We start from the raw sequence: 26,624 nt of genomic DNA, 5'->3' as shown, positions 1-26,624 counted from the left end.
AGCATTTGACAGACACTCTGCTTTTGTATATTAAGCATCACATTTTAGAGTTAACAGATTCAGAAAGAAACCAGCCCAAACAAGTCCAGAAATGACTAAAGACTTAAGCTGAATATTCAGAGAAAGGCACACCAGAAAAGGACATATTTCATGATCTCGCAAAACTCTTGAAAACAATAATTTGCAAAGGAGTTCTTACCTTCCACGGGGAGGCTGTCTTGGAATCAGTTTCATCCTATTCAAAGAAAGAGGAATTTAGGCAGCCAAGCAATTGACCATGAAACAAAGCACCTGGCCTTTCCAGCGAATGACTCTAGTTTCCCCCAGGGGAGATCCCAGATACTAATACATTAACCAAAACAGCATTTTCCCTCCATAGTTTGGCTGGTAACAAACTACAAGGCTGGTTAAGAAAAATTAAGCCAACAAACAGGGGAGAGAAAAATTCCAATTTTTTTATCCAGTAGAAGAAATGGAGAGAATAAAGAAATTTAATAAGAAAACCACCAACTTTTATGTTGTACTCATAAGATTGTCTGCAAAGGGGTAATAAATGAACCTAAAGATAGCTATAGAAAAAGTTTTAGAAAACTGAAGAGACAGAAGACTTTTTTTTTTTTTTTTTTTTTAGAGCTGTGCTTTGTGTTGCATGCCTGTTGTCCTAGATACCTGGGAGGCTGAGGTGGGAGGATTGCTTGAGGCCAAGAGTTCGAGGCTGCAGTAGGCTATAACTGCAGCTGTGAAAAGCCACTGACCTCCAGTCTGGGCAACAAAGCAAGACCCTATCTCTTAAAAAACAAACAAACAAACAAAAGACCGAAAAAAAAAAAAACCAACTTTTTTTGTCTTTTGGAGAATGGCAAATAGAAATCAATTTCTGGGCTGGGCATGGTGGCTCACGTCTGTAATCCCAGCACTCTGGGAAGCTGAGGTGGGCAGATCACCTGAGGTTGGGAGTTCGAGACCAGCCTGGACAACATGGTGAAACCCCATCTCTACTAAAAATACAAAAATTAGCTGGGTGTGGTGCCACATGCGTGGAATTCCAGCTACTCAGGAAGCTGAGATGGGAGAATCGCTTGAACCTGGGAGGTGGAGGTTGCAGTGAGCCAAGATCACACCACTGCACTCCAGCCTGGTTGACAGAGTGAGACTCCGTCTCAAAAAAAAAGAAATCAATTTTTGGAGTTTTCCACAAATCTTTACACACAAAAGGCATCTGAGGTTCAGGAACAGCAATTCTGATGAAGAAGTTCTTGGCTTGATATTCTTCCCAAGATTTAAGTCCTTCTCATGTTCAAGATCCACACACAGCACCCGAAACTTACCCTGGGCATCATGCCATACACTTCCTACAAGGAGAGAGAGAAACCAGTTTTATTATTAGAAGAAATACACATCTCTCAAGAATACTTATTATGGCCAAACCTGGAAACACAGGAGATAATTCCAAAAGGACAAATGGAAATGCCAGTCCAAATGTCCAGCAGAGCTTCAAGTATTTATATATAAACTTTTTCTTTGAGGAACTTATGAAATTACCATTAGTTAATGGCTATATAAACATTAAATATTTAATGAGCTTACGGAGAAGACAGAAGCCCCCACCCCCCTCCAAACCAAGTGAAAGTGAGGGATATGGGTATAAAGAAGTTAATCAAAATGGTTTTGGTCACATAGAGGACCTGACCTACAGCCAAGCCACAGTTCTGTGTTATGAAACACTGCTTGTTGGGCTATGACAGACACAAGAGGAACAAAGCTGCATCCTTACAGCAACAGAGCCTCACTCCAAGATGGAGACACCTACCTGTTGTTGCACAGCCTGCACCTCCTCTGCCATGAGACCTTCAGACTCCAGGTCTTCAGCTACCTTGTTAATGTCCTTCAACCGTGACTCATTGGCCTTCAGGTCCTTTAAAGCAAAAGCCATAATAACTAAAACCCAAAATAGCAAGCCAAAGTCAAAGGAGACATAGTCACAAACTATGGCTTGAAACTATAAGGATTCTTCTACAGAGGCCTACCAAAAAAAAAAAAGGGGGGGATTAAAAAAATAAGCTATGGCTGGGGGCATGGTGGCTCACGCCTGTAATCCCAGCACTTTGGGAGGCCCAAGTGGGCGGATCACCTGAGGTCGGGAGTTCGAGACCAACCTAACCAACATGGAGAAACCCTGTCCCTACTGAAAATACAAAATTAGCTGGGTGTGGGGGTCCATGCCTGTAATCCCAGCTACTCGGGAGGCTGAGGCAGGAGAATCGCTTGAACCCGGTAGGCAGAGGTTGCGGTGAGCTGAGATTGCGCCATTGCACTCCAGCCTGTGCAACAAGAGCGAAACTCCATCTCAAAAACAAAACAAAACAGGCCGGGTGCGGTGGCTCACGCCTGTAATCCCAGCACTTTGGGAGGCCGAGATGGGTGGATCACGAGGTCAGGAGTCCAAGACCAGCCGGGCCAATATGGTGAAACCCCGTCTCTACTAAAAATACAAAAATTAGCTAGGCGCGGTGGCAGGCGCCTGTAATCCCAGCTGTTCGGGAGGTTGAGGCAGGAGAATCGCTTGAACCGGGGTGCGGCAGAGGTTACAGTGAGCCAAAATCGTGCCACTGCACTCCATCCTGGGCAACAGAGCAAGACTCTGTCTCAAAACAAAACAAAAACAAAACAAAACAAACAAAAAAAGCTATAAGGATCTGTTCAACAGGTATCCCTATGGATTGGTTTTCCCAGTCCTCAGATAATTATTGGACTCAAATTTACTTCATTAACTGTAGTTTTTTGTCTTTTTTGGAGACGGGGTCTCACTGTCACCCACGCTGGAGTGGAGTATTACAATCATGGATCACTGCAGTCTCTACCTCCCAGGCTCAAGCAATCCTCCTACCTCAATCTTCTGAGTAGCTTGGACTATAGGCACACACCACTATGCCCAGCAAATAATTTTATCAAATAGAGACTTTTTTAAAACCTCTTTTTGGTTTTAAAATAATGTTTTAAAAATGTGATGAGGCCAGGTGTGGTGGCTCACACCTTTAATCCCAGGACTATGGGAGGCCAAAGCAGGAGGATTGCTTAAGTTCAAGACCAGCTTAGGGCAACATAACCAGACCCCTATCTCTACAGAAAAATTTTTTTTCTTTTTTTTCTCTAATGAGACTCAGTCTCACTCTATTGCCCAGACTGGAGTGCAGTGGCGTGATCATGGCTCACTGCAACCTCCGCCTCCCGGGTTCAAGCGATCTTCATGCCTCAGTGTACCGAGTAGCTGGGTCTACAGGCAGGCGCTACCACGCCCAGCTAATTTTTGTATTTTCAGCAGAGATGGGGTTTTGCCATGTTGGCCAGGCTAGTCTCGAACTCCTGACCTTAGGTGATCTGCCTGCCTCGGCCTCCCAAAGTGCTGGGATTACAGGCATGCGCCACTGGGCCCGGCCAGAAAAATTTTTTCAATTATAATAATGGATGTGGTAGCCTATGTGCATAGTCCCAGCCACTCGGGTGGCTGAGGTGGGAGGATCACTTGAGCACAGGAGTTTGAGGTTACAGTGAGCTATGATCATCCACTGCCCTCTACCCTGTGTGAGAGAGTGAGACCCTATCTCTAAAAAATAAATAAAAACGAGATAAAATTTTAATGCACAGTTACTATAGGAGAAATAAGTTCTCCCTCCTCATTTTAATTTGTTGTAAGAATCCTTTTAAGTGGTGGAATGGATAAACAATGTGTAGTATATTAGGCCGGGCGTGGTGGCTCACGCCTGTAATCCCAGCACTTTGGGAGACCGAGGCGGGTGGATCACGAGGTCAGGAGATCAAGACCATCCTGGCTAACACGGTGAAACCCCATCTCTACTAAAAATACAAAAAATTAGCCGGGCGTGGTGGCGGGTGCCTGTAGTCCCAGCTACTCGGGAGGCTGAGGCAGGAGAATGGCGTGAACCTGGGAGGTGGAGGTTGCAGTGAGCCGAGATTGCGCCACTGCACTCCAGCCTGGGCAACAGAGAGAGACTCTGTCTCGAAAAACAAACAAACAAACAAAAAAAACGAACAAAACAAAAAAACCCAAAAACAATGTGTAGTGTATCAAACAGTGAAATATTATTCAGCAATAAAAAGGAATGGAGTACTGGTATGTGCTACAAAAAGGATGAACCTGGAAAACATTATGGGCCGGGTGCGGTGGCTCACACCTGTAATCCCAGCACTTTGGGAGGGCAAGCTGGGCAGACGGCCTGAGCTCAGGAGTTTGAGACCAGACTGGGCAACATGGCAAAACCTTGTCTCTACAAAAAATACAAAAATTAGCTGAGCATAGTGGTGCATACCTATAATCCCAGCTACTCAGGAGGCTGAGGCAGGAGGATCACTTGAGCCCAGGAAGCGGAGGCTGCAGTAAGCCGAGACTGGGCCACTGCACTCCAGCCTGGGCAACAGAACACCTTGTCTCAAAAAATAAATAAATAAAAGAAAGAAAACCTAAACAAAAGAAGCCAGTCACAAAAAGTGACATAACGTGATTCCATTTATATAAATGTCCAGAATAGGTAAATCTGGAGGCAAGCAGCAGATGAGTGGCTGCGTGGGCCACTGGGGTTAGGGAGAATGGCAAATGAATGCTTGACGGATATGTGGTTTTCTTCTGAAGTGACACAAATGTTTCGGAACTAGAGGTGGTGGTTGCACAACACTGTGAATGTACTAAATACCACTGAATTGTACAGTTTAAAATGGCTAGCTTTGTGAATTTACCCCAATTAAAAAAAAAAGAGTACTTTCACATCTATTGTAGTTTAGGCTTAGAAAAGTTCTTATAACAACATGTAGAGAACATAGCATATCTTTCCTTAAAACTAAATTTGTCCAAAAAGGTTTCAATTAAAGTCTTTTAAAAATAGCTACACAGGCCAGGCATGGTAGCTCATGCCTGTAATCCCAGCACCTTGGGAAGCTGAGGTGGGCAGATCACTTGAGGCCAGGAGTTCAAGACCAGGCTGGCCAACATGGCAAAATCCCGGTTGTACTAAAAATACAAAAATTTGCCAGATGTGGTCGTGCGTACCTGTAATCCCAGCTACTCGGGTGGCTGAGGCATGAGAATCACTTGAGCCTGGGAGGCAGAAGTTGCAGTGAGCTGAGATCGAGCCACTGTACTCTAGCCTGGGTGATAGAGTGAGACTCTGTCTTGAACAAAAAAAAAACTGAGGCCGGGCACGGTGGCTTACGCCTGTTATCCCAGTACTTTGGGAGGCTGAGGCAGGCGGATCACCTGAGGTCAGCAGTTTGAGACCAGCCTGACCAATATGGTGAAACCTCATCTCTACTAAAAATACAAAAACTAGCCAGGCGTGGTGGTGAGCTACTCGGGAGGCTGAGACAGAACTGCTTGAACCTGGGAGGAGGAGTTGCAGTGAGCCGAGATCGCACCATTGCACTCCAGCCTGGGCGACAAAAGAGAGACTCTGTCTCAAAAGGAAAAAAAAAAAAATTGAAAAAAAAAAAAAAAAAAAGCTACATACATGATGGAATATAATCTATGTAATTTGCATTCCAGTAATTTGCAGTCAGAAATCAAGAGACTCTGGCCAGGCGCAGAAGCTCATGCCTATAATCCCAGTACTTTGGGAGCCTGAGGCGGGTGGATCACCTGAGGTCAGGAGTTTGAGACCAGTCTGGCCAACATGGTGAAAACCTGTCTCTACCAAAAAATACAAAAATTAGCAGGGCGTGGTGACGCACATCTGTAATCCCAGCAACTCAGGATGCTGAGGCAGGAGAACCACTTGAACCCAGGAGGCAGAGGTTGCAGTGAGCCGAAGTCATACCACTGCACTCCAGCTTGGATGACAGTGAGAATCCATCTCAAAAAAAAAAAAAAAAAAAAATCAAGAGACTCAAATCTTTAAACAAATTTTCAGCTGAGCCTGAAGACTGCCCATACCTTCTGGAAGTCATCAAACTTCTTCTGGAGCACCTCAACCTGCTCCAAGTCTGCTCCGACCTCCTCACTTGTCAGAGCGGCTTCCTTCTCATTGATCCATTGCTGTAGTTCATTCGCTTCACGGAACAACATAAACTTCTTGCAACTCTTCTCCAACATGCCTTTACGCTTCTCACCCAGTTCCAGCAGAGAATGATATCTGATGGAATTCAAGAGGGTGACAAGAGGGACAAGGAAGGCAGTTAGCTGTAGATGCTAACATAAAGGCAAACCACGAGGTGTCTCCAAGATGTGGATTCCAGGCTACGAGTTTGTAATGATGATGCCCTAGTAACAGAGTTATCAGATGAAGACGAGGATCCCAAGTACCCACGCCACAGCCTGAGAGATATGCGCACACTGTACTGTTCACAACCAGGTGGCTAGAACAGCCAGGCACACTTATCCCCAGGCCGATTCTGCACTTAGAACAACACAACCACAAGGGACTGAAACCAAGCGCTTAGCACAGTAACACAGGGCTCATGCAACTACAGTGGAGAGACGAGATGAACTTGCTGGGCAGAATGTATACAGAGGGTTTTTCTGTCTTTTATAATTCTCTGAAGAGCCCCCAGGCTGGGGTGAGGTGGGGGAGGGTACACTGAGCTTTAAAATATCCTCATATAGGATGTTTTATCTCCATATTAGTAGGACATTTCTAAAATGATACATTCAGCTCTCAGAAAGTTTTGGCAAGTTCAGAAGGAAAATCAGGCACAGTACTGAGTATCTGTGCCATTCTGTTACTTGAAAGATTTCTTAAGAATCAAAGAATATTCTAACCCTCGGGAACTAAAATACAAAAGGCTGAAATATTATCTTTGAACACGAAAACAACAAACAATAAAAAACTAAAAATTAAAAAAAACTAGAATCATCATCAAATCTAAGTGTCCCAAAGTAAAATAAAAAAGCAATGAGTTACCAAGAATCAGAGCACTTTAAGAGAAGCATATGATTTCCTTCCTACTAAGGAAAACTATAGAACAGGCCTTCAGGTTTGCTGCTGATAGTGGCTGGTCCACCACAAAAACCAACAGGAGGGAGAACCAACACCACTCTGAACACACAGCTGCACATGGAAGCAACCAATGAGATAAGCAGTCATCGACCGACACAGCTGCACCGCGACCTCTTCCCTTGTGAGCCAAAGCTGCTGCACGGACAGGCAGTTCCTCCCACCACCTCATCTTTCTGGATGGACAAAGGCCTTCAAGAGAAGCGGCAGAGGGAGAATGGATAGGGTAGCAGTGGACATTGGTGCTCTGCAAGACTCTCAGCCTACTCACAGTTCTTCCACCTGCTTCATACGCAGAGATACACTGCCGGCCTCCTTAGTTATGCGTGTCCTGCACAGAGGGGGCACAGCAAAAGCATGCACGAATTAGTGGGGTTAATCCACAGGGATGAAAGGCAGCAGCTCCGACTGGTGCCATGATGGTGGATGCTTAATGTTGGGAAACTATGGAGTTATTCAACAGGTCTAAGGAGCAGTCTAAGTCATGAGTGACATGACAGTAAAGAAATAGCAGGAAAATTAGAGGGTTAGTTCACCTTCATTTTCCTGGCGGGTCTGCCATGCTTAAGGCAGATTTTCCTGTGCTGAAAACACTGGTAACTTCACAGAGCAAGGTCAGGGAACAGACTGGACTACCCTTAGAAAGAAATTTTACTGAGTGCTAACAGGCAATTTAGCCACGTATTTGATCTTTTTCCTCTTATATTTATGACCCAGACTACTGGTAAGAATACAAACCAAGGCCAGGCGTGGTGGCTCACGCCTGTAATCCCAGCACTCTGGGAGGCCAAGGCGGGCGGATCACGAGGTCAGGAGTTTGAGACCAGCCTGGCCAACACAGTGAAACCCCATCTCTACTAAAAATACAAAAATTAGCTGGGCATGGTGGCATGTGCCAGCAGTCCCAGCTACTTGGGAGGCTGAGGCAGGAGAATCACTTGAACCCAGGAGGCAGAGGTTGCAGTAAGCCAAGATCACACCACTGCACTCCAGTCTGGATGACAGAGCGAGAATCTGTCTCAAAAAAAAAAAAAAAGAACACAAACCAAAACCTCCCATTCTTATCTCTATAGTAACAGAATCTATAAAGTGGACAAATAACTCTGATCTTACTGAGGATCACTGGAGCCCAAAAATTTCACTATTCTACCCAAACTCTAGTGGGAATGTATTTCCTGGATATTTCCCAAGTGTCCAAAACTGCTGATTCCACTAGTGGAGTCAGAAATACCCTAAAGGAGGGACACAGGGCAATATGGGGGCTCAGCTAGAGGAAAGAGGACAGAGCCATTTCATTACAAAATTCCATTCTCAGAACTCAAAGCTATGGCAGACAGAGAAGCTCTGAAAGCAGCTTTTCAAAGTGGACAGAGCTGTAGGGGCGTAGAGTATCTGAAAATCCAATTTCAAAAAGCATCTCGAACCAAAAGGCAAATGGCAATGATTAGAAAAATTCTGGTTAGGAAAAACTCATGAACACTGGTGGAAAAAAAACAAAGCAATATAAGTCATCAGTCAGGGGTCTGAGACCCACACAGGGAGGTCTGTGGGCTCAAAGTGGGGTGGAGACAGCAGGAGGCGTGCAGGTGGGCTCCAGGAGCCTCAGGACACGCCTAAGCTTCGGCCCATGTGGAACAGAGTATGCCTATGGGACGCCTAGCCCTTGCGGCCCCCAGTGTCATCCTTACTGATTGTCAATCTGCTCCTGCCGCAGTGCTATGCTGCCTTGCTCCTCCAGGAGATTCTCCCGGGAGGCTGACTGGGCGGGGTCCAATTTCTTCACGTACGCAGCCGGCACAAAACCCTGACGATCGTTCACTTCCACTTTCCACCAATCCTAAGGAAAAAAGAGGGAGAACTGAAAGTAAATTCCTTCTCTGAGAGGGAGAATCCAAGGAGGTCACGTGTATACACACACACGAGAGCGTTGTTTTAAGAGGTCCAAAACGGCCGGCCACAGTGGCTCACACCTATAATCCCAGCACTTTGGGAGACCGAGGCGGGTGGATTACGAGGTCAGGAGATGGAGACCATCCTGGCCAACACAGTGAAACCCCGTCTCTACTAAAAAAGATACAAAAAAAATTAGCTGGACATGGTGGTGGGCACCTGTAGCCCCAGCTACTCGGGAGGCTGATGCAGGAGAATGGCATGAACCCAGGAGGCAGAGCTTGCAGTGAGCTGAGATTGCGCCACTGCACTCCAGCCTGGGCGTCAGAGCGAGACTCTGTCTCATAAAAAAAAAAGGTCCAAAATGATATTAAAATCACTTTCTATAAGGTCTGATAATTCAGTCCCTTCCTCACCTGCCATACCTGCAGAGGGTCACAGGCAGAAGAGCAATGCCGCCTGCCACCAAGGCTGGCCTTCTCTCTGCTTAGATGCTCCAGAGCTGTGCTAACACTGTAGCCACCAGTCACATGTGCCCACTTAACTTTCATTGAGTTAGAACTCTTTTTTATTGGAGACAGAGTCTTGCTCTGTTGCCAGGCTGGAGTGCAGTGGCACGATCTTGGCTCATTGCAACCTCTGCCTCCTGGGTTTAAGTGATTCCCCTGCCTCAGCCTCCCAAGTAGCTGGGACTACAGGTGCACGCCACCACGCACAGCTAATTTTTTTGTATTTTAGTAGAGACGGGGTTTCACCATGTTGGCCAGGATGGTCTCAATCTCCTGACCACATGATCCACCCACCTCAGCCTCCCAAAGCGCTGATATTATAGGCGTGAACCACCACGCCTGGCCCTTTTTTTTTTTTTTCTTTTTTAATATAAATAGAGATGAGGTCTCGCTATGTGCCCCAGGTTGGTCTCGAACTCCTGGGCTCAAGCGATCCTCCTGTCTCGGCCTCCCAAAGTGCTGGGACTACAGGCGTGAGCCACCATGCCCGGCTTCATCGAGTTATAATTTAATTAAATAAAACACCCAGTTGTACTAGCCATATTTTAAGGGCTTACTATCACACGTAGCTAGTAGTTACTGCAGAAGCAGCACAGACACTTACATTTCCACCATCACAGAAAGTTCTACTGGGCAATGCTGCTCTTGAATAAACCAAAGTTAGACCACAAGTTGGTTTAGGTTTAAATTAGACTCAATAGAAAGATAAGAATCACAGGTTTCCTCAAATTATCATGACAAGGATAAATAAGGTGTGGGAATGGGAATAAACTTGCTCTTAAAAATGGCCAAGGACATTTCTCCAGCCTTAACTAAAACAGAAGGCAGGCCTCTTTCAGGATCAGTCAATCTGTGCATGCTTCAACACCACTGTCAATTCAGAGTGTGTTAGGGAAGAAAGGCTGGTGGACCAGGATGGATTTATTATTGTCATTATTTAGCCTAAAGAAGACAAAGCCTGTGGGGTGAGGTCACAGCTGTCTTCAATGATCTGCTGGGCTGAGATGTAGCTTGTAGTCTGGAGTAAGAACCAACAGGTCGGCCAGGCGCGGTGGCTCATGCCTGTAATCTCAGCACTTTGGGAGGCTGAGGCGGGTGGATCACGAGGTCAGGAGATCGAGACCATCCTGGCTAACACGGTGAAACCCCGTCTCTACTAAAAATACAAAAAATTAGCCGGGCGTGGTGGCAGGCACCTGTAGTCCCAGCTGCTCGGGAGGCTGAGGCAGGAGAATGGCGTGAACCTGGGAGGTGGAGCTTGTAGTGAGCTGAGATCATGCCACTGCACTGCAACCTGGACGACAGAGCAAGACATTGTCTCAAAAAAAAAAAAAAAAAAGGCCGGGCACGGCGGCTCATGCCTGTAATCCCAGCACTTTGGGAGGCTGAGGTGGGTGGATCACGAGGTCAGGAGATAGAGACCACGGTGAAACCCCATCTCTACTAAAAATACAAAAAATTAGCCAGGTGCAGTGGTGGGCGCCTGTAGTCCCAGCTACTCGGGAGGCTGAGGCAGGAGAATGGGGTGAACGCAGGAGGCGGAGCTTGCAGTGAGCTGAAATCGTGCCACTGCACTCTAGCCTGGGTGACAGAGCGAGACTCTGTCTCAAAAAAAAAAAAAAAAGAAAAGAAAAAGAAAAAAAAAGAACCAACAGGTCCAAGTTATACAGAAAGCAAACTTTGGCTTGACAGGACAAAAATTCCACCTAGAGACACTCAATGGTGAAAATAAGCTATCCTTCTGAGTGTGATTATCTATGCTTCTTGCAGGTATTCAAGAAGACAGATTAACTTCTTGGTCATACACAGTACTGCATAAATGTATGTCACGTGGGGGATTGGTGAGGAAACTCATGTCTTTGAATTCTAAGCCTTCTCATTTCAGGGAGACATGCAACCCACAGAAACCCAACTGAGCATACGTGGAGGTGCCAGCGTGGAACAAACACACAGCCACTCTCTGTGCCTTGCCTTGTTGGTGCTGTTGAGTAAGGTAAGGATATCTCCCTTCTTCATGGTGACCTCTCGGGGACTCTTCTCCTGATAGTCGTAGAGAGCCAAGACCAGCTCCTTCCCAGTCTCATCATCCGTGGGGGCCACTTGTTGCTAAAAATCCAAAGGAAGGGCAAACATGGTAAAAACACGTCCGCGCTGAGTCATCTAAGTACAGAGCAGATTCAAATGCCACCAGCTGTACCAAATGTACCAAATATACACTCATGAGAATTCTTCACTGAAGCTACCAATAAAATCTGATCCAAGAACTTTAAATTTTTGGTATCTTTAAAAAAAAAATCTCATTTTGTCTGGGCACGGTGGCTCATACGTGTAATCTCAGCACTTTGGGAGGCTGAGGCAGGCAGATCACCTGAGGTCGGGGGTTCGAGACCAGCCTGACCAACATGGAGAAACCCCATCTCTACTAAAAATACAAAACTAGACAGGCGTGGTGGTGCGTGCCTGTAATCCCAGCTACTCGGGAGGATGAGTCAGGAGAATCACTTGAACCTGGGAGGCGGAGGTTGCGGTGAGCCAAGATCAGGCCAATGCACTTCAACCTGGGCAACAAGAGTGAAACTCCATCTCAAAAAAAAAAAAAAAAAATCTCATTTTAAAGTAGGGCCGGGCACAGTGCTCATACCTATAATCCCAGCACTTTGGGAGGCCAAGGCGGGCAGATCATGAGGTCAGGAATTCAAGACCAGCCCGGCCAACATAGTGAAACCCCATCTCTACTAAAAATACAAAAATTAGCTGGGCGTGGTGGCGGGCGCCAGTAATCCCAGCTACTCAGGAGGCTGAGGCAGGGTAATTGCTTCAACCTGGGAGGCAGAGGTTGCAGTGAGCCAAGATAGTGCCACTGCACTCTAGCAAGACTCCATCTCAAAAAAAAAAAAAAAATTTAGCTGGGCATGGTGGTGAACACCTGTAATCCCACCTACTCAGGAGGCTGAGTCAGGAAAATCGCTTGAACCCAGGAGGCGGAGGTTGCAGTGAGCCGAGGTTGTGCCACTGCACTCCAGCCTAGGCGACGGAGTGAGACTCTGTCTCTAAATAAATAAATAAATAAATAAATCTTATTTTAAACTCTGTAAATCTTTGTGTCACAAGAGTTAATAGCAGAGTCAAATGGGGCCTATGATAGGAACACCTGCTGACAGTATCTGAGTCCTTCAAGGCCTCCCTCCAGTAACCCATAAACTGTTACAAGTTTACCCGGCAGGACTGTGCTTGTTCTCGCAAAGCCTGGATGCTGCTGCCGTAGGCACTGAGATCTGACATCAAAGCTTCGTGTTTCTTCAGTAGAGCCTGAAACCAAAACCACACATGGAGCACTGTGCAGGGGCTGAAGCCTCCCATCCTCCACTGCCTCGCCAACCTGCCATCCTGCCTCAACAGCCTTTCTCAGTTGCACAATGACGTAATCACCTCCTGCCCTTCTTACAGTGCTAATATCATTTTCAAAGTTTTTCAGGATTCTCATCTTTTGGGACAATCATATATATTATGATTATAGCTTACTCATCCTGGTCTAGGCACAGAGGCTTATGCCTGTAATCCCAGCACTTTGGGAGGCTGAGGCAGGCAGACAGCTTGAGCCCAGGAGTTCAAGACCAGCCTGGGCAACATACTGAAACCTCATCTCTACAGAAAATACAAAAATTAGCCAGATGTGATGGTGCGTGCCTGTAGTCCAAGCTACTCAGGGGACTGAGGCAGGAAGACTGCTGAGCACAGGAGGTCAAAGCTGTAGGGAGTCGTGATTGCATCACTGTACTCCAGCCCTAGCGACAGAACGAGCGCGGTGCCTCACGCCTGTAATCCCAGGACTTTGCGAGGCTGAGGCAGGCAGATCACTTGAGGTCAGGAGTTCAAGACCAAACTGGCCAATGTGGTGAAACCCCATCTCTCCTAAAAATACAAAAAAAGTTAGCTGGGCGTGGTGGCGGGCGCCTGTAATCCCAGCTACTTAGGAGGCCAAGGCAGAAGAATCGCTTGAACCCAGGAGGTGGAGGTTGCAGTTATCCGAGATCATGCCACTGCACTCCAACCTGGATGACAGAGTGAGACTCTGTCTCAGAAAAAAAAAAAGAAAAGGAAAAATTCAACTCATTCTAGTTTTTGTGAAGAGTGGTAAGAGCTAGGTACAGGAACTATACCTAGACCTTTATGAATAAAATTTGAGAATTTTAGTCAAAAAACAGATAACCAGTAAAAAACCAAGTACATCTATGTATGTATGTGTGCATGTTGGTATGTGGGTATATGTGCGCACTGGTATGTACATGTGTATGCTGGTATGTTTGTAGGTATGTATATATGTATGTGTGCATGTTGGTATGTTAGTATGTATGTAAGCACACATATGGTTTCACATAGATGAAACAAGAGTGACAAATGTTAACGGTTGAAGGTGAGTGAGAAGTCATCTTCTCTCTCCTTTAGGTATGATTACATTTTCATAATAAAAAGTGAAAAATGGGCCAGAAGGGGTGGTTCATTCCTATCATCCTAGCATTTTGGGAGGCTTTGGCAGGAGGATTGTTTGAGGCCAGGAGTTTGAAACCAGATGGGACAACATAGCGAGACCCTGTCTCTACTAAAAATAAAATTAAAATTAAAAAGCGTAGCTAGGCAGGTAGTGGTACCTGCCTATAGTTCCAACTACTTGGGAGGCTGAGGCAGGAGGATCGCTTGAGCCCAGGAGTTTGAGGCTGCAGTGAGCCACAATTGTAACATTGCAGTCCAGCCTGGGCAAGAGTGAGACTCTGTCTCCAAAAAAAAAAAAAAAAAAAAAAAAACCAAGTGAAAAATGGATTCCAAAACATTTTAAAAAACAATCACTGTAATGCACACCTCCCGCGCATCACTACTTCTCCTAACTTCCTTCTCAGTACAAGCCCTGTTCCACTTCCCTGGCAGGTGAGACGCTTCCCACGCCTGGTTACCTCAGCAGAGTCTTCGTCCTTGCCATAGTCAGTGCTGCCCACAATGGGTTCCTTCTCCCGCATCCAGGATTCAGCCTCGTTAGCATCAGCAAAGTACTGCTGGGCCTGCAGAGAGTCCTCCAGGTCCTGCCGACGCTGGGAAGCTTTGGCTTTCAGTGCCTCCCACTTTTGGTTCAGCTCGTGAAGCTTGGCCTTCACATCCTCTGCAGCAAAATGGCCTGGAAGATGGGTAGGGAAAGAGGATAACAAAAACTACGTTGACACATCACAGAAGGACAAAAATAAGTTTTCTCTGTGTGTTCACGGCACTTTCATTACTATGTTTTGGTGAGCTGTGCCCTTTCATAATTCCATTTTTTTTGAGAGGCTCAGGTTCTAACCCTCTAATGGACTGTTTCATTTTTTGCCTCCTCAAACCATGACCTCTATCTAGACTCTAAGAAGCAGATATCGCAAGTTGGCATTAGTGATAGTATCATAAAGACTAGTAACAGTACCACTGTAGCGCTCAGTTACTGAGACTGGCACGTGCAGGCACTCTATCAGCTCTTTTCCTACTTGGTTTCACTTACTCCCCACTACAGTGTCAGGAGAGGTGCTGTCATCCCCGTTTCACAGATAAGAAATTCAGGCTCGGAGCCAGGCGCGGTGGCTCATGGCTGTAATCCCAGCACTTTGGGAGGCCGAGGTAGGTGGATCACCTGAGGTCAGGAGTTCAAGACCAGCCTGACCAATATGGTGAAACCCTGTCTCTATTAAAAATACAAAAATAAAAATACAAAAATTAGCTGGGTATGGTGGTGTGTCCCTGTAGTCCCAGCTACTTGGGAGGCTGAGACAGGAGAACTGCTTGAACTAGGGAAGCAGAGGTTCCACTGAGCTGAGACCGCGCCACTGCACTCCACCCTGGGTGACAGAGTGAGACCCCGTCTCAAAAAAAAAAAAAAAAAGAAATTCAGGCTCAGAAAGGGTAAGGTCTGGTCAGGTCATACAGTTAGGAAAGAATGGGGATGGTATTCAGCCCCAGAGCCTGGTTTGTGATGCCCACGTGGCCATGCCCTCGGCAAGAAGGGGAGACACGAGGAGCAGCACCAAGCCATGTCACTGATACCAATCACTCACCTTCCTCCACCATGGCATTCCCCTTCTGTGTAACTGCTTTGATGCGTGGTTCATGTCCAGCAATTTCTGCTTGTAAGGCTTGATGTTTCTTTAGCAGATTCTGGACCCCAATTAAATCCTTACCTGAAAGCAGACACCAGTCCCCAGTTATCCAACCATGAAGAGAAAAGTCAGCACTGATTTGTCATTCTTAGCTACCACCATGGTTCCAGTTCAATAATTTAAATTCGACCCTGCCCATCCTGACATGCATCCCCTTTATGCTACAATAGCACAGCCTTTCCCAAGTTGATTCCTACCTGAGGGAAGCAGACTGACCTCTGTTGGTAGATGCGGCAATGGGCTCTTTCTCTCGAATCCACGTCTCCTCATCCTCAACATCCCGGAAGAGCTGCTGCAACCGCAGAGAATCGGCCAGCTTCTGCTTCCGGGCAACCATGGGCTCCTTGAGTGCCTCATAGCGAGCCACGAGGGCTTCCTGTTTCTTCTTGATGTTTTCTGCATCAAAATGGCCAGCATCTTGGAACTGGCGGGCCTGAATGGTGATGCCATCAATTCGGTCCTGGGAATGCAAAAGGACAGAGCAGACTTTACTTTGGGTGTGGTTTTATCGTATACAGAGAAAAATTGATAAGGTCTTTTTTCCATTCCTGAGAGGATTCTTTCTGCTATCTCCTTCCTTCATCTGGGGCTCCTAGAAAGCTCTAAGGGATGATATTTAATTTGAGCAGAAGCACATGCAGCACAGAGCGATCTAAGAAAATCAACACATTTCATCCCTCCCAAAATTCATTTAGTCTCAAATTACTGGCTTTTCCTCCCTCCTATAGTTTCTGCATTCACTTGCCCAACCACAGCCCCCAGTTCACACTACCTGGTGAGCAGCCACATCTGCCTCTAGCAGTGCATGTTTCTTCTGGAGGTTCTGCACATTGGTAAGATCTTTGCCGTAATCATCCGAAGCCAAGTGACCTTCTACTTCATATAGCCACAATTCAATATCCTCAACATTGCGATTAAATTGCTGTTGCTGGTTGGCTTCACGAAGCTTTATTCCTATGGAAGAAAACAAGTTTAATTTTGTACTGCTTAGCATTACCCTTCTGCCAACACTGCCCATGAACAGTAGTATCTTAGTGAAGGACTATACAGGTCAGAATTTTATTCCTTCACTTATGTCACAAAGAGAAAGAAAATATCAATTGCAGCCTCTGCTCTACCTTCTCAAGGTTGAACTGGAAGCATTCTAACCCCCTTGAGATATAAGGACACTGGAGAATTAGTAAATGCCCTTGGCTCTCAGCTGAACTTTGATTTTCAGCAATGAGGCCCAATTCAGTTCCTTCTCACTCAGACTCCCTCACCAACCAGTATGCTCGACCACATTTACCAAATTATTATCAAGAACTTAAGCCAAGTAATTCCTACACAGGAAATTATCCCTAACGCCAAAGTCATCCACCTCACCTTTCTTGGGGGGTATATGTCCCTAAAATACTTAATAGAAAGGGGTATTTAGTTCCCCAAACATGCATGTCACAATTCAATGGAACATCTCTTACCTTTCAGTTCAGTGGCCTCTAGCAGTTTCTTCCACAAACTGATCACCTCATTCATACGAGCTGCCACTTCATCCTTGGCATAGTGGTTGACATCAATCAGCTTTTGGCCAGCTTTCTCCAAGGCATCAATTCGGCTCTGGTTTGCTGAGAGCTCAGCCTCAAAAGCCTGATGCTTCTGTACTTTTCCTTGTAGGTTGGATGGATCCTGTGAATAAAAGAAGGGGGTTCTTTCTATCTTGAACCTGAGAACGTCAAGTTCCCTTGCACTACCTTCATACTTATCTTTATGGAGGAATGTATAAAACAGTTGGCTTACATTAAGTAGTGGGGTTTCTGGAATCCCTTATTTCGTCCTTTAGCTACAATTTATTTGTGAGAGCTGTGTTTAGCTTACTAATCGAGTGCTACATGGCAACACTAACAGTACATTACTTTATAAGCTTCATCTGTGGCAGTTTTCATCTTCTCATTGACCCAACTCTTGAGCTCATCAGAATCACGGAAAAACTGCTGCAGATGGAAAGAATCGGCTAGCTGGGCCCGGCGACGCATGGCTCTCTCGTGAAGGGCATTGCGGCGGCTCAACAGCTGAAAGACAAGGATCCCCTGTGAGTCTCTAGTGTTCACTCCCAAAGGGATATCCAGTTGAAGAGACTTAACTGGAACATCTTAGAAGAGACATTCATGTACCAAAAAGGAGGAGCATGAAGAACCTACAAACTTACAGCATCTCGGCGAGTGGCCACATCTTCCATTGCATAGTGGTTGTTCTGAATTAGCTTGGTTGCAAATTCATCTAATGCCTAGGAAGGAAGATAAGAGTTCTTCATTGGTAAGCACACTAGTCCCAAGCTTGGCCTCTGGAGAAAAGTAACTGCTGAACAGATCATAAAACACACCAAACTTTAACATAGGTCAAGGTTTTCACCCAAAGGTTGGTGATGACATTTTTTCTCATAACTTTTGAGATTTTGCTTGATGTCACCAGTCAGATATCATAAGACTGCACTACCTCCATTCAAGACTGGAGACATTAGTTGTGGCACGATCTCCTGGCAGGGGTCAAACACAGGTTAACAGCTTTCCAAATTCTTATTTCTAAGATGTATTTTCAATGGGAAGAGTACCTCTTAATATTAACCCTGACCTACTTTTAATGAAGGGTACAAACTTAAAGAAGTTTGGAGGTTTCCATTAAGTAAATCATTTTTCCATAAAGTTGTATTATGTCTTCAACGAGATAGCATGTCATCCTTGTGAAAGTTTAAGCACCCACAGGAGTACTCTGCATATGAATCTTTCATCAAATCTGTTTGGAATCCTTCCAGGGAAAAAGACTCTGGCTTACTATAAGGGTCATTTGAAAGCACTGACAAGAAGGGGTCTTACTGTAATCTTTTCCTCCTGGGCACTAAGGGATTTCTCAAAGTCTTCGTGCTTCTTAAGAAGCGCTTCCACACTATCCAAGGAATCTCCCAAGTCTTCATTCAACAGGAACGCCTTGCCAAAGGAAACAAAGTGTTCAGAATAATGTCCTATTCCTTTGATCTTCTAAGACTGTGAAGCAAAGGGTATTTTGGCCAAAATATAAAAAGAAGGAAAGAGATTTTATGGCTGCTAAACTTCTAAGATCTCTTCTAGGAAGTCTAAAGTCCTTTTGGATTTTCTTAAAATCAATCCAGCCATATCATGAAATCCTATTCCACATTCTATTGAAACTTCTCTTACATAGTTTTTGTTGCTTCTATTAGATTCAGATGTTACATAATGCTAAGGTTTGTTTTTTTTGTTTGTTTTTTTTTTTTTTGTGAGACAGGATCTCGGTCTGTTGCACAGGCTAGAGTGCGGTGGTACGATCATAGCTTGCTGCAGCCTTGAGCTCCTGGGCTCAAGGGATACTCCCATCTCAGCCTCCCAAAGTGCTGGGATTACAGCAGGGAGCCACTGCACCCAGCAATGCTAAGTTCTAAGAAAAAAATCTCTTTAATAAAACATTTTACATCACACTAATCTGAAAAGCTGGGGCCTTTTCTGAAGGCCTTGCAATCTCAGCAGGGAGAGATGCTGGCAGAGCTGAGAGAAGCTTGCTCAATTCCCCCTCTTCAATGGATTCAGAACTAACATGGTACTGATGTCCTAAAACAAAACAAGCACACTACCCGAGGAGGCAAAACACAGGCCCTTCTTCTCCCACCACTGGCAAGGCTTTGCTCACAGATTACCTCCTGCTTGCTCATCCAGTTGTCCACCTGCTCAGTGTCCCGGTAGAAGAGCTGCAGGTCCATGCACTGCTCGTACTGCTGCCTGCGCAGCTCCCACAGCTCCAGCAGCGCCGCTCTCTCCTCGGAAAGGACGGTCAGCTTGGGGGCATAGGAGACATGGTCAGGGAGATGAGGTCAGCCCCAATGCCTCCGAGGCAGACAGAACAGCTATCCTGGAATTCCTAATCCTAGTGCTAATCTTCAGGCCTTTTTTCCGATTTGCAAAAGGGGAAAAACAACATTCACTTGTATGTGCATGTTCAATATAAAAGGGATGGCCTGTTTTAATTAATCTAGAATTAATTTATTGCCAAATGATCACAAATGACTTTAGGTAAAAACAGTAAGTAAACTCCCAGGTAGAAGAAATAGGGCATCCATTTAAAAGTGAGGCAGTATAAATGGAGTTTAATGGAGTATAAATGGAGTAGGGACTCTCCACTAAGAAATGTCAACTGAGTGGGTGCTCCATAACATATGGAAAATAAATTCAGAAACTCCCTAGACTTTAGGCTCCGAAGCTACTAATGACAAGTCTTTGAAATGTCTTTACTCTATGTAATACTAAAAAACATATAAATCATATAAATCATTATTTATCTAATGTTCCTAGGCAATTTTATACTCGAAGATACTTCAAAACTTATATACATATGTGTATATATATACACATATAAAAAAAGTAAAATAAAATATGTATATATATACATATTTTATTTTTATTTATTTATTTTTTTTTAGAGACAGGGTCTCACTCTGTCACTCAAGCCAGAGTGCAGTGGTGCAAATCATAACTCATTATAACCTTGAACTCAAGTAGCTCGGACTATAGGAATGTGCCACCATGTCTGGCTAATTTATTAATTTTTTGTCCAGATGGGGGTCTCACTATGTTGTTCAGGATGGTCTCCCATTCCTGGCCTCAAGCAATCCTCCTGCCTTGGCCTCTGAAAGTGCTGGGGTCACACCACACCTGGCCTATGTATCATTTTATAAAAATTTGTTTCCTCTTTGCTCCAACTCCTAATGCAAGACTCAGCTCCCTACAGAAAGTCCCTGTAAGTAGGAAACATGCCACACATGCCCCAGATAAGGAGGACTGTCTCTCAGGAAATCAGCACACTATACATATACCTTCTTTTTAAACCTCTGCAGAGAAAGGAAAGTTTCTCACATATCATGGTGAATGCGTTCTCTGGATATTTAAGGATGAATAATAGCTTTCAGAGACTTAGTGAAAGGTGTAATTTGCTCCTCAAAAGCTCCATTTCTCTTCTCTTACCTTCTCCCTCACTTCATCTGAGGCATAGTGACCAGCAGCAAGCAGTGCCTGTCCAGATTCATCTGCAGATTTGAAGCTGTCTTCATGGGCATCAATTTCACCCTACAGGAGAAAAAAACAAAGCCATGATTTGTGCCCAGCATCTTACAAAATAAAAACAAGGTGCTGAATTTTACATAAGCATTATAAGCCAGACTATGACATCTAAAATGAGAAACAAAATGAAAGATTAGGCCAGATTTCCTAATACATAATCAGTCTAGGTCATCAAATGTGAGAGTATCACTCACTGATGAAATCCTTTCCAAATGGCTTTTCAGGTCACCTGTCATTTGTCAAGGTTCCACACATTCACATGGGTCTGAGCTCTCTTTCATTCCAGGGCTCTGTCTTCTTTGTGCCAAATGGACTTGTTTACTATGATTTTATAGAACCTGGTAGGGCGAGTCCCTCCCTGGCCCCATTATGATCTTCAACATTGTCTCAGCTTTTTTTGAATTTTTTTCTTCCAAATCAGTTTTGGAATCAGCTTATCTCATTGCAAAAAGAAACACACACATATACCTGCTGAGCACTTGACTGGAACTGCATTAACGGTATATATCCTGGTGGGAATTTACACCTTCACAGAAGATCGTTCCATCTGTGTACTAGATAAATCATTCTATCTATTCAGTTTTTATTTAATGCCTTTTAACAAAGTTTTATAGTTTTCTCCAGAAGTGTCTTACACTCTTTTGTTAGACTTATTCCTAAGTACTTTATATTTTCTGCTCTAATAAGTAGTATTTTTAAAAATTATGTTTCTGTTGCTAGTGTAGAGAAACATGTTTGACTTTCAGTATATTGATTTTGTATCTAGCACATTAAAACCTCTCAGAAGGTTTTTTTTTTTTTTTTTTTCTTTGAGACAGAGTGAAACACTCTTGTTGTCCGGACGGGAGTGGAATGGTGTGATCTTGGCTCACTGCAACCTCTGCCTCCCGGGTTCAAGCGATTCTCCTGCCTCAGACTCCTGAATAGCTGGGACTACAGGCGCGTGCCACCATGACCAGCTAACTGTTGCATTTTTAGTAGAGATGGGGTTTCACCATGTTGGCATGGATGGTCTTGATCTCTTGACCTCATGATCCACCCGCCTCAGCCTTCCAAAGTGCTGGGATTACAGACATAAGCCACCGTGCCTGGCCCAACAAATACTTTTTACATCACAAAGGATCAATGTGCCAAGTAGTAGCACTTCTATCTCGCCAGAGCTTGTCTGTTTGCTTTTATGGACCACAGTGAACCTCTTGACACTGAACCCAGTTAAGCCTCTATCAGAAGCAGGTAGACCAGGTCTCCAAAGGCAAAACCAACCATAATCCTCATGATGAGAAACACCTGTGAATAACATGGTACCAACGCCGACTATAGGCCTCACCCAACACTGATAAACTGGTGCATTATAAGCTAAAATCTTCACTTCTGGAAGATTCTAGAGATACCATTACCTTGTGCTCTTGGTGTCTATCTAGCAGGGCTTCAGCCCCAGCCACATCACTGGCAAGCTCATCTGCATTGATGAGGGCTTTCATCTCAGTCACCCAGCTGGTGAGGTCACGGAAGTCAGCAAGGAAGCGTTGAAGCCTAGGGAAAACCAAAGGAAGACATTATGTTTCCAGCGGAGGTTCCAGGGTGGAAAATGGCCTCCCTAAAGCTCTGAATTCTATGTTCTCAAATGTCTAACAAACTATATAAATTCTAATTCTGGGAAATATGAAAATTTCCCAATCTAGACTGTGAAGGAAAGCAAGAGAAGGCTGAAATCAACCCTTTAAAACTTAGGTTCTCTCCATCACTATAATGCCCCAATCCTGTCCCACATTTTCAACTTCCTTGTTATTCCCAGGTTCAACCCTTGGCTAGCAAGGATTCTTTTCCTTTCTAATCCTGGTTTTAATAAGATATTTCATGTGATACTCAGATACTTAAAGGGACATTCCCATTCTATCAATCATAATGCAGTGATGCAGAATAGAAGAATTTATGAAGTTGTAAATACCATACGTATACTACACATGATACAGTTGCCAGTCTCCAAACAGAGAGAACATAGGTAAGAAGTGATTTGCATTTGTAGGTGATACCTGACACTTTCACAGAACACAGAACAGACCCTTAACTCTGCTATTCCTGCTTCCAAAAAAGAAGCCAAATGATACTGGTTAAGACCTGGAGCATTATTTGCACCTGTATGAATCATTGAGCCGTGCATGTCTCTCTGCCGCCAAGGTGCGGATCTGCTCCCAGTTTGTAATCAGTTCCTCTCGCTTCACTTGAATCTGTGTTGCACTCAGAGGGTGGGACTGTTGCAGGCGGTCAGCCTCAGCACACAGGGCTTTGACCTAGAAATGAACTCCGTCAGAACTATTCTCCTGACCCTTGGTAACTTATTTACAGAATCAGCTGCTTGTAAAACCCACCTTGTCTTCTAGAGCAGCAAGATCTCTCTCCAGACCCTCGTGCTTCCGAAGCAGAGCCTGAACACTTGCCAGGTCTCGGCCAAAATCATCAGAGGCCATTAACTGCTCCTTTTCCTTAATCCAACTGATAGTCTCATCCACATCCCTACAGAACAAAGGCACCAGTTAATCCACAGCAATGATGACTCCCTAGAACTAGGAACACCCCATGGGACCAAGGCCTAGTCAGCCTCGACAGCTCACCAGCACATGCCCTGTGCTTCACAACTCCCCTCCAGGTTGAGACCCATTCCCCAAAGCCCACTCTGGCTTGACACCTGTTAAAGCGCTGAACTTCTGCTGCCCCAAAGAGCTTCCCCTGCCTCTGCAGAGCCAGGCCCTTCAGCCGCTGCCAGGCTGCATTGACTTCATCCTGCTTAGTCTTGATCAGTTCCTCCTCAGGGTGCTGCTCCTAAACAAGGAAGAGAAGAGACTGGATTTGTACACAACTTCTGGCTCCTCCAACTAGTTACCCTGGGGTTGGTTCCTTGAAGCATCTCAGCAAATCACCACTCTGAAGAGAATCACAAGAAATAATGGTCAACATGATACAAAGTGAACTACAACTCCAAAGAGTTTCTATTTCTTATGTAAAAAGGGGAGAGCCATTCTCTATCTTTTGGAGTAGTGTGGTTAGTCTATAAGGTGGTTATGTGCAAAAGTGCCAAAAACCTTTATGTTAATAAATAGTTTGGCAACAACTGTGTGGTAACTTTATCAATGTACTCATCTACCCTAACTGCTTGAAAATTTGGTATTTCAGATGTTCATGAGGCTGTTAAGCATTCTTGCACATAAACATAATTTTCGGGGCTCAAGAGTTTGTCCCTGGCTTTAGACTGACGACATTTCTTTTTTTCTTTTTTGAGACAGGGTCTTGCTATGTTACCCAGGCTGGTCTCAAGTGATCCTGTCTTGTCAGCCTGAGTCTGAGTAGAGTAGCTGGGTCTATAGGCAGGTGCCACTGCATCAAGCTTAGAGACATTTCTTTAAAAGTATCCTTCCCTACCAACCACATTTTGGTGTTTTAAAAAATATGATACAAAGTAATAAAATGAAGCATTTCAGGGTTCTTGAATCCATCTGGGATACCATGGGTTTGGCCTGACTACTTTTCTCAAGCTCAACCGCAGGAAAGCTTAGGGTTTGGAAAAGCAACACATCTGTCACTGTGGAAGGGTGAGATATTTCTGAGGAATGCCGGGTATCTTTCTCTTAATCACTGGCCAGAAAATGGAAACAAGTACCAGCCTATAAGCAGATTTATACACTTAAAATTTGTACCCCCCAAATCAAATTTCCCTAAAAGTAAAAACTCTCTGGTTCCGAGTACTTGATGTCTTTGGAACCCTTTGGACTCGTAGTGGAAGCAGCTTACAGGATTGTACACGTGGGCACTGGGGAAGGGTTGTCATTCCCTCTTAATGGGCTCCAGCGCCAGAGTGGAGAGCCTATTCACGACAAGGTTCTCCCAGGCTCCCAAGAGAGCCCAGGGAAGCTTCAAATAAAAAAGGAAGGCAAGAGCCCTAATGCATTGGTGGACATCTGCCAATACTAACTTAGCATTCACCACCACACCCTCGTCTGAGAAACCCTGAGACCTAGCTTCAGCAGTCCAATAAAAGCTTCACCCAGCCCTACCCAAAAGTGGGTAGAGGAAACAGATCAAATGAACTCTGCCCTTCCTGCCCAAGGCAACACATTGAAAAGCATTTTCCAATTTAGGAGTAATCAGTATTGTGCCTCACATCTAAACAAAACTCTCAGACATGCTTACAAAAACTTGCTCACTCAGAAATTAGGGGACCAATCATCAAAATTTTATCCTGAATATACTAAAAAGTTAACATAATAATGTTGTGAGAAGCATACAGCACTTTGCTATTTACCTGTATGAGTTTGGCAGCAAACTGGTTCACTTCATTAACTCTTTCTTCATGAGCAGCCATATCTGTTTGAAACTCTTCAAATTTCTTCTGTAAAACCTCTACATGCTCCAGATCCTGGCCCAGCTCTTCAGAAGTAACAATTGCTTCCTATTCAGGGACCATAAGAGAGCCAGAGTCACCAACCAACATTTGTTAACAATGGCTTCCAGAAACATCAAACAGACACATTAGGGACGGAGCCATGTTAGCTTTAATGGATACAGTTTTGTCTGTGGTTTGTGATTTTAGTTCCTCCCACAGAAAGTTAAGAGGTTGAGTTCACGGCATTTCTGTCTCAGCGACTCCAGGCTTCAGAGTTACAGAATAGCACATACACCTAGAGAGCAGCTGGAGAGACAGCAACCCCACTTCCACCCTTTTACTTAAAATGGCCGTATCTGTGCTAACACTGGGTCTCACTACAGATCACAGAGGAGTCTCTTCCCTTTTCTTTGAGTAAAGCTTAGCAAACCCTTCTTCCCAAAACGTGCCTTGTCATTGATCCAGTCCATCACGTCCTCACATTCTCGTAAGTACTGCACCAACTTCTGGGCCTGCAGCAGTTTGATTCCTTTTTCTCGCATCTTCTCCAAAAGTAATTCCCACTGGCGGTGCAGCTCCATCAAACGGGTCTGAAAGTTTCAAATCAGAGTTTTAATCAGATCACAACTGGCTCTGTGGGATCTGGCTCTTCCATAGAGTTTAGACAAGTTAGAGACCTTATGGAGCGCTGAATAAAAATATTTTTAAAAGATAATCCCTAAACTGAGAGGAAATAGTAAATTTAACTGGCAGTAGGGAAAAGTCCACAGTTCACAGTGGTTTTTTGGTGGTCTTCAAGTTACAAGTAGGTAGATCTACTCTAGTTCTTTCACAGGTAGATTTACTCTAGTTTACATCAGGAAAATCATTATCATTTATATTATTAATAATATCTTTATATTTCATTTATAATTATATTTATGATATATTTATATTGTATAGTTATATATTTTAGTATTATATAATAATAGGTACACAATTGATACTATTAATTATTATTAAATTATTAGAGTGGAATTCCTAATCCAGAAGACTACTGGGAAAGGAAAAATGAGGAATTAATGTGTAAACTGAGCTGAAATTACTGAAGGATGTATTCCAAATTCATGGAGATAAAGGGAAAAAAACAAAAGAAGAGGTCTTATAGGCATCATCAATGTAAAAACTATGAGGCACAACAGGAAAATCTTGGTGGAAAAGTAGTAAAGGGGAGGCTGGGTGCAGCGGCTCATGCCTGTAATTCCAGCACTTTGGGAGGCCGAGGCGGGCAGAGCACGAGGTCAGGAGTTCAAGACCAGTCTGGCCAGCATGGTGAAACCCCATCTCTACTAAAAGTACAAAAATGAGCCGGGTATGGGGGCGCACACCTGTAATCCCAGCTACTCAGAAGGCTGAGGCAGGAGAATCACTTGACCCCAGGGAGTTGGAGCTTGCAGTGAGCCATGATTGTGCCACTGTGCTTCAGTCTGGGCGACAGAGCGAGACTCCGTCTCAAAAAAAAAGTAGAAAAGGGCTGGGCGCAGTGGCTCACTCCTGTAATCCCAGCACTTTGGAAGGCTGAGGTGGGCAGATCA

At 44.6% G+C, this 26,624-nt stretch overlaps 1 protein-coding gene across 29 annotated transcripts in view; it reads right to left on the bottom strand.

The window, feature by feature from the left end:
* Positions 1 to 26,624, bottom strand: part of SPTAN1 (spectrin alpha, non-erythrocytic 1) — an 81,076-nt gene that overhangs the window by 33,348 nt on the left and 21,104 nt on the right. For 16 of the 29 annotated variants that reach the window (NM_001375318.1, NM_001375312.2, NM_001375311.2 and 13 more), the window contains 24 exons: positions 25,500 to 25,640; positions 24,970 to 25,116; positions 23,359 to 23,492; positions 23,042 to 23,186; positions 22,809 to 22,963; positions 22,070 to 22,205; positions 20,577 to 20,678; positions 19,256 to 19,393; positions 18,423 to 18,533; positions 17,759 to 17,836; positions 17,466 to 17,621; positions 17,034 to 17,238; positions 16,346 to 16,527; positions 15,790 to 16,033; positions 15,472 to 15,594; positions 14,350 to 14,567; positions 12,617 to 12,709; positions 11,372 to 11,506; positions 8,690 to 8,838; positions 7,273 to 7,332; positions 5,942 to 6,140; positions 1,811 to 1,915; positions 1,329 to 1,352; positions 200 to 235 (listed from right to left, as the gene is read on the bottom strand). In NM_001375318.1, the coding sequence (NP_001362247.1) occupies positions 200 to 235; positions 1,329 to 1,352; positions 1,811 to 1,915; positions 5,942 to 6,140; positions 7,273 to 7,332; positions 8,690 to 8,838; positions 11,372 to 11,506; positions 12,617 to 12,709; positions 14,350 to 14,567; positions 15,472 to 15,594; positions 15,790 to 16,033; positions 16,346 to 16,527; positions 17,034 to 17,238; positions 17,466 to 17,621; positions 17,759 to 17,836; positions 18,423 to 18,533; positions 19,256 to 19,393; positions 20,577 to 20,678; positions 22,070 to 22,205; positions 22,809 to 22,963; positions 23,042 to 23,186; positions 23,359 to 23,492; positions 24,970 to 25,116; positions 25,500 to 25,640 (3,216 nt within the window). The remainder of the gene's footprint in view (positions 1 to 199; positions 236 to 1,328; positions 1,353 to 1,810; positions 1,916 to 5,941; positions 6,141 to 7,272; positions 7,333 to 8,689; positions 8,839 to 11,371; positions 11,507 to 12,616; positions 12,710 to 14,349; positions 14,568 to 15,471; positions 15,595 to 15,789; positions 16,034 to 16,345; positions 16,528 to 17,033; positions 17,239 to 17,465; positions 17,622 to 17,758; positions 17,837 to 18,422; positions 18,534 to 19,255; positions 19,394 to 20,576; positions 20,679 to 22,069; positions 22,206 to 22,808; positions 22,964 to 23,041; positions 23,187 to 23,358; positions 23,493 to 24,969; positions 25,117 to 25,499; positions 25,641 to 26,624) is intronic. The other 13 variants (NM_001375314.2, XM_047423786.1, XM_047423794.1 and 10 more) reach the window with 1 other exon arrangement.

The sequence above is a fragment of the Homo sapiens genome, chromosome 9 (genome assembly GCF_000001405.40).
Source record: "Homo sapiens chromosome 9, GRCh38.p14 Primary Assembly".
NCBI classification, from domain to species: Eukaryota; Metazoa; Chordata; class Mammalia; order Primates; family Hominidae; genus Homo; species Homo sapiens.
Note: the sequence above shows the minus strand (reverse complement) of the source record. Positions and strands in the feature narration are given on the sequence as shown.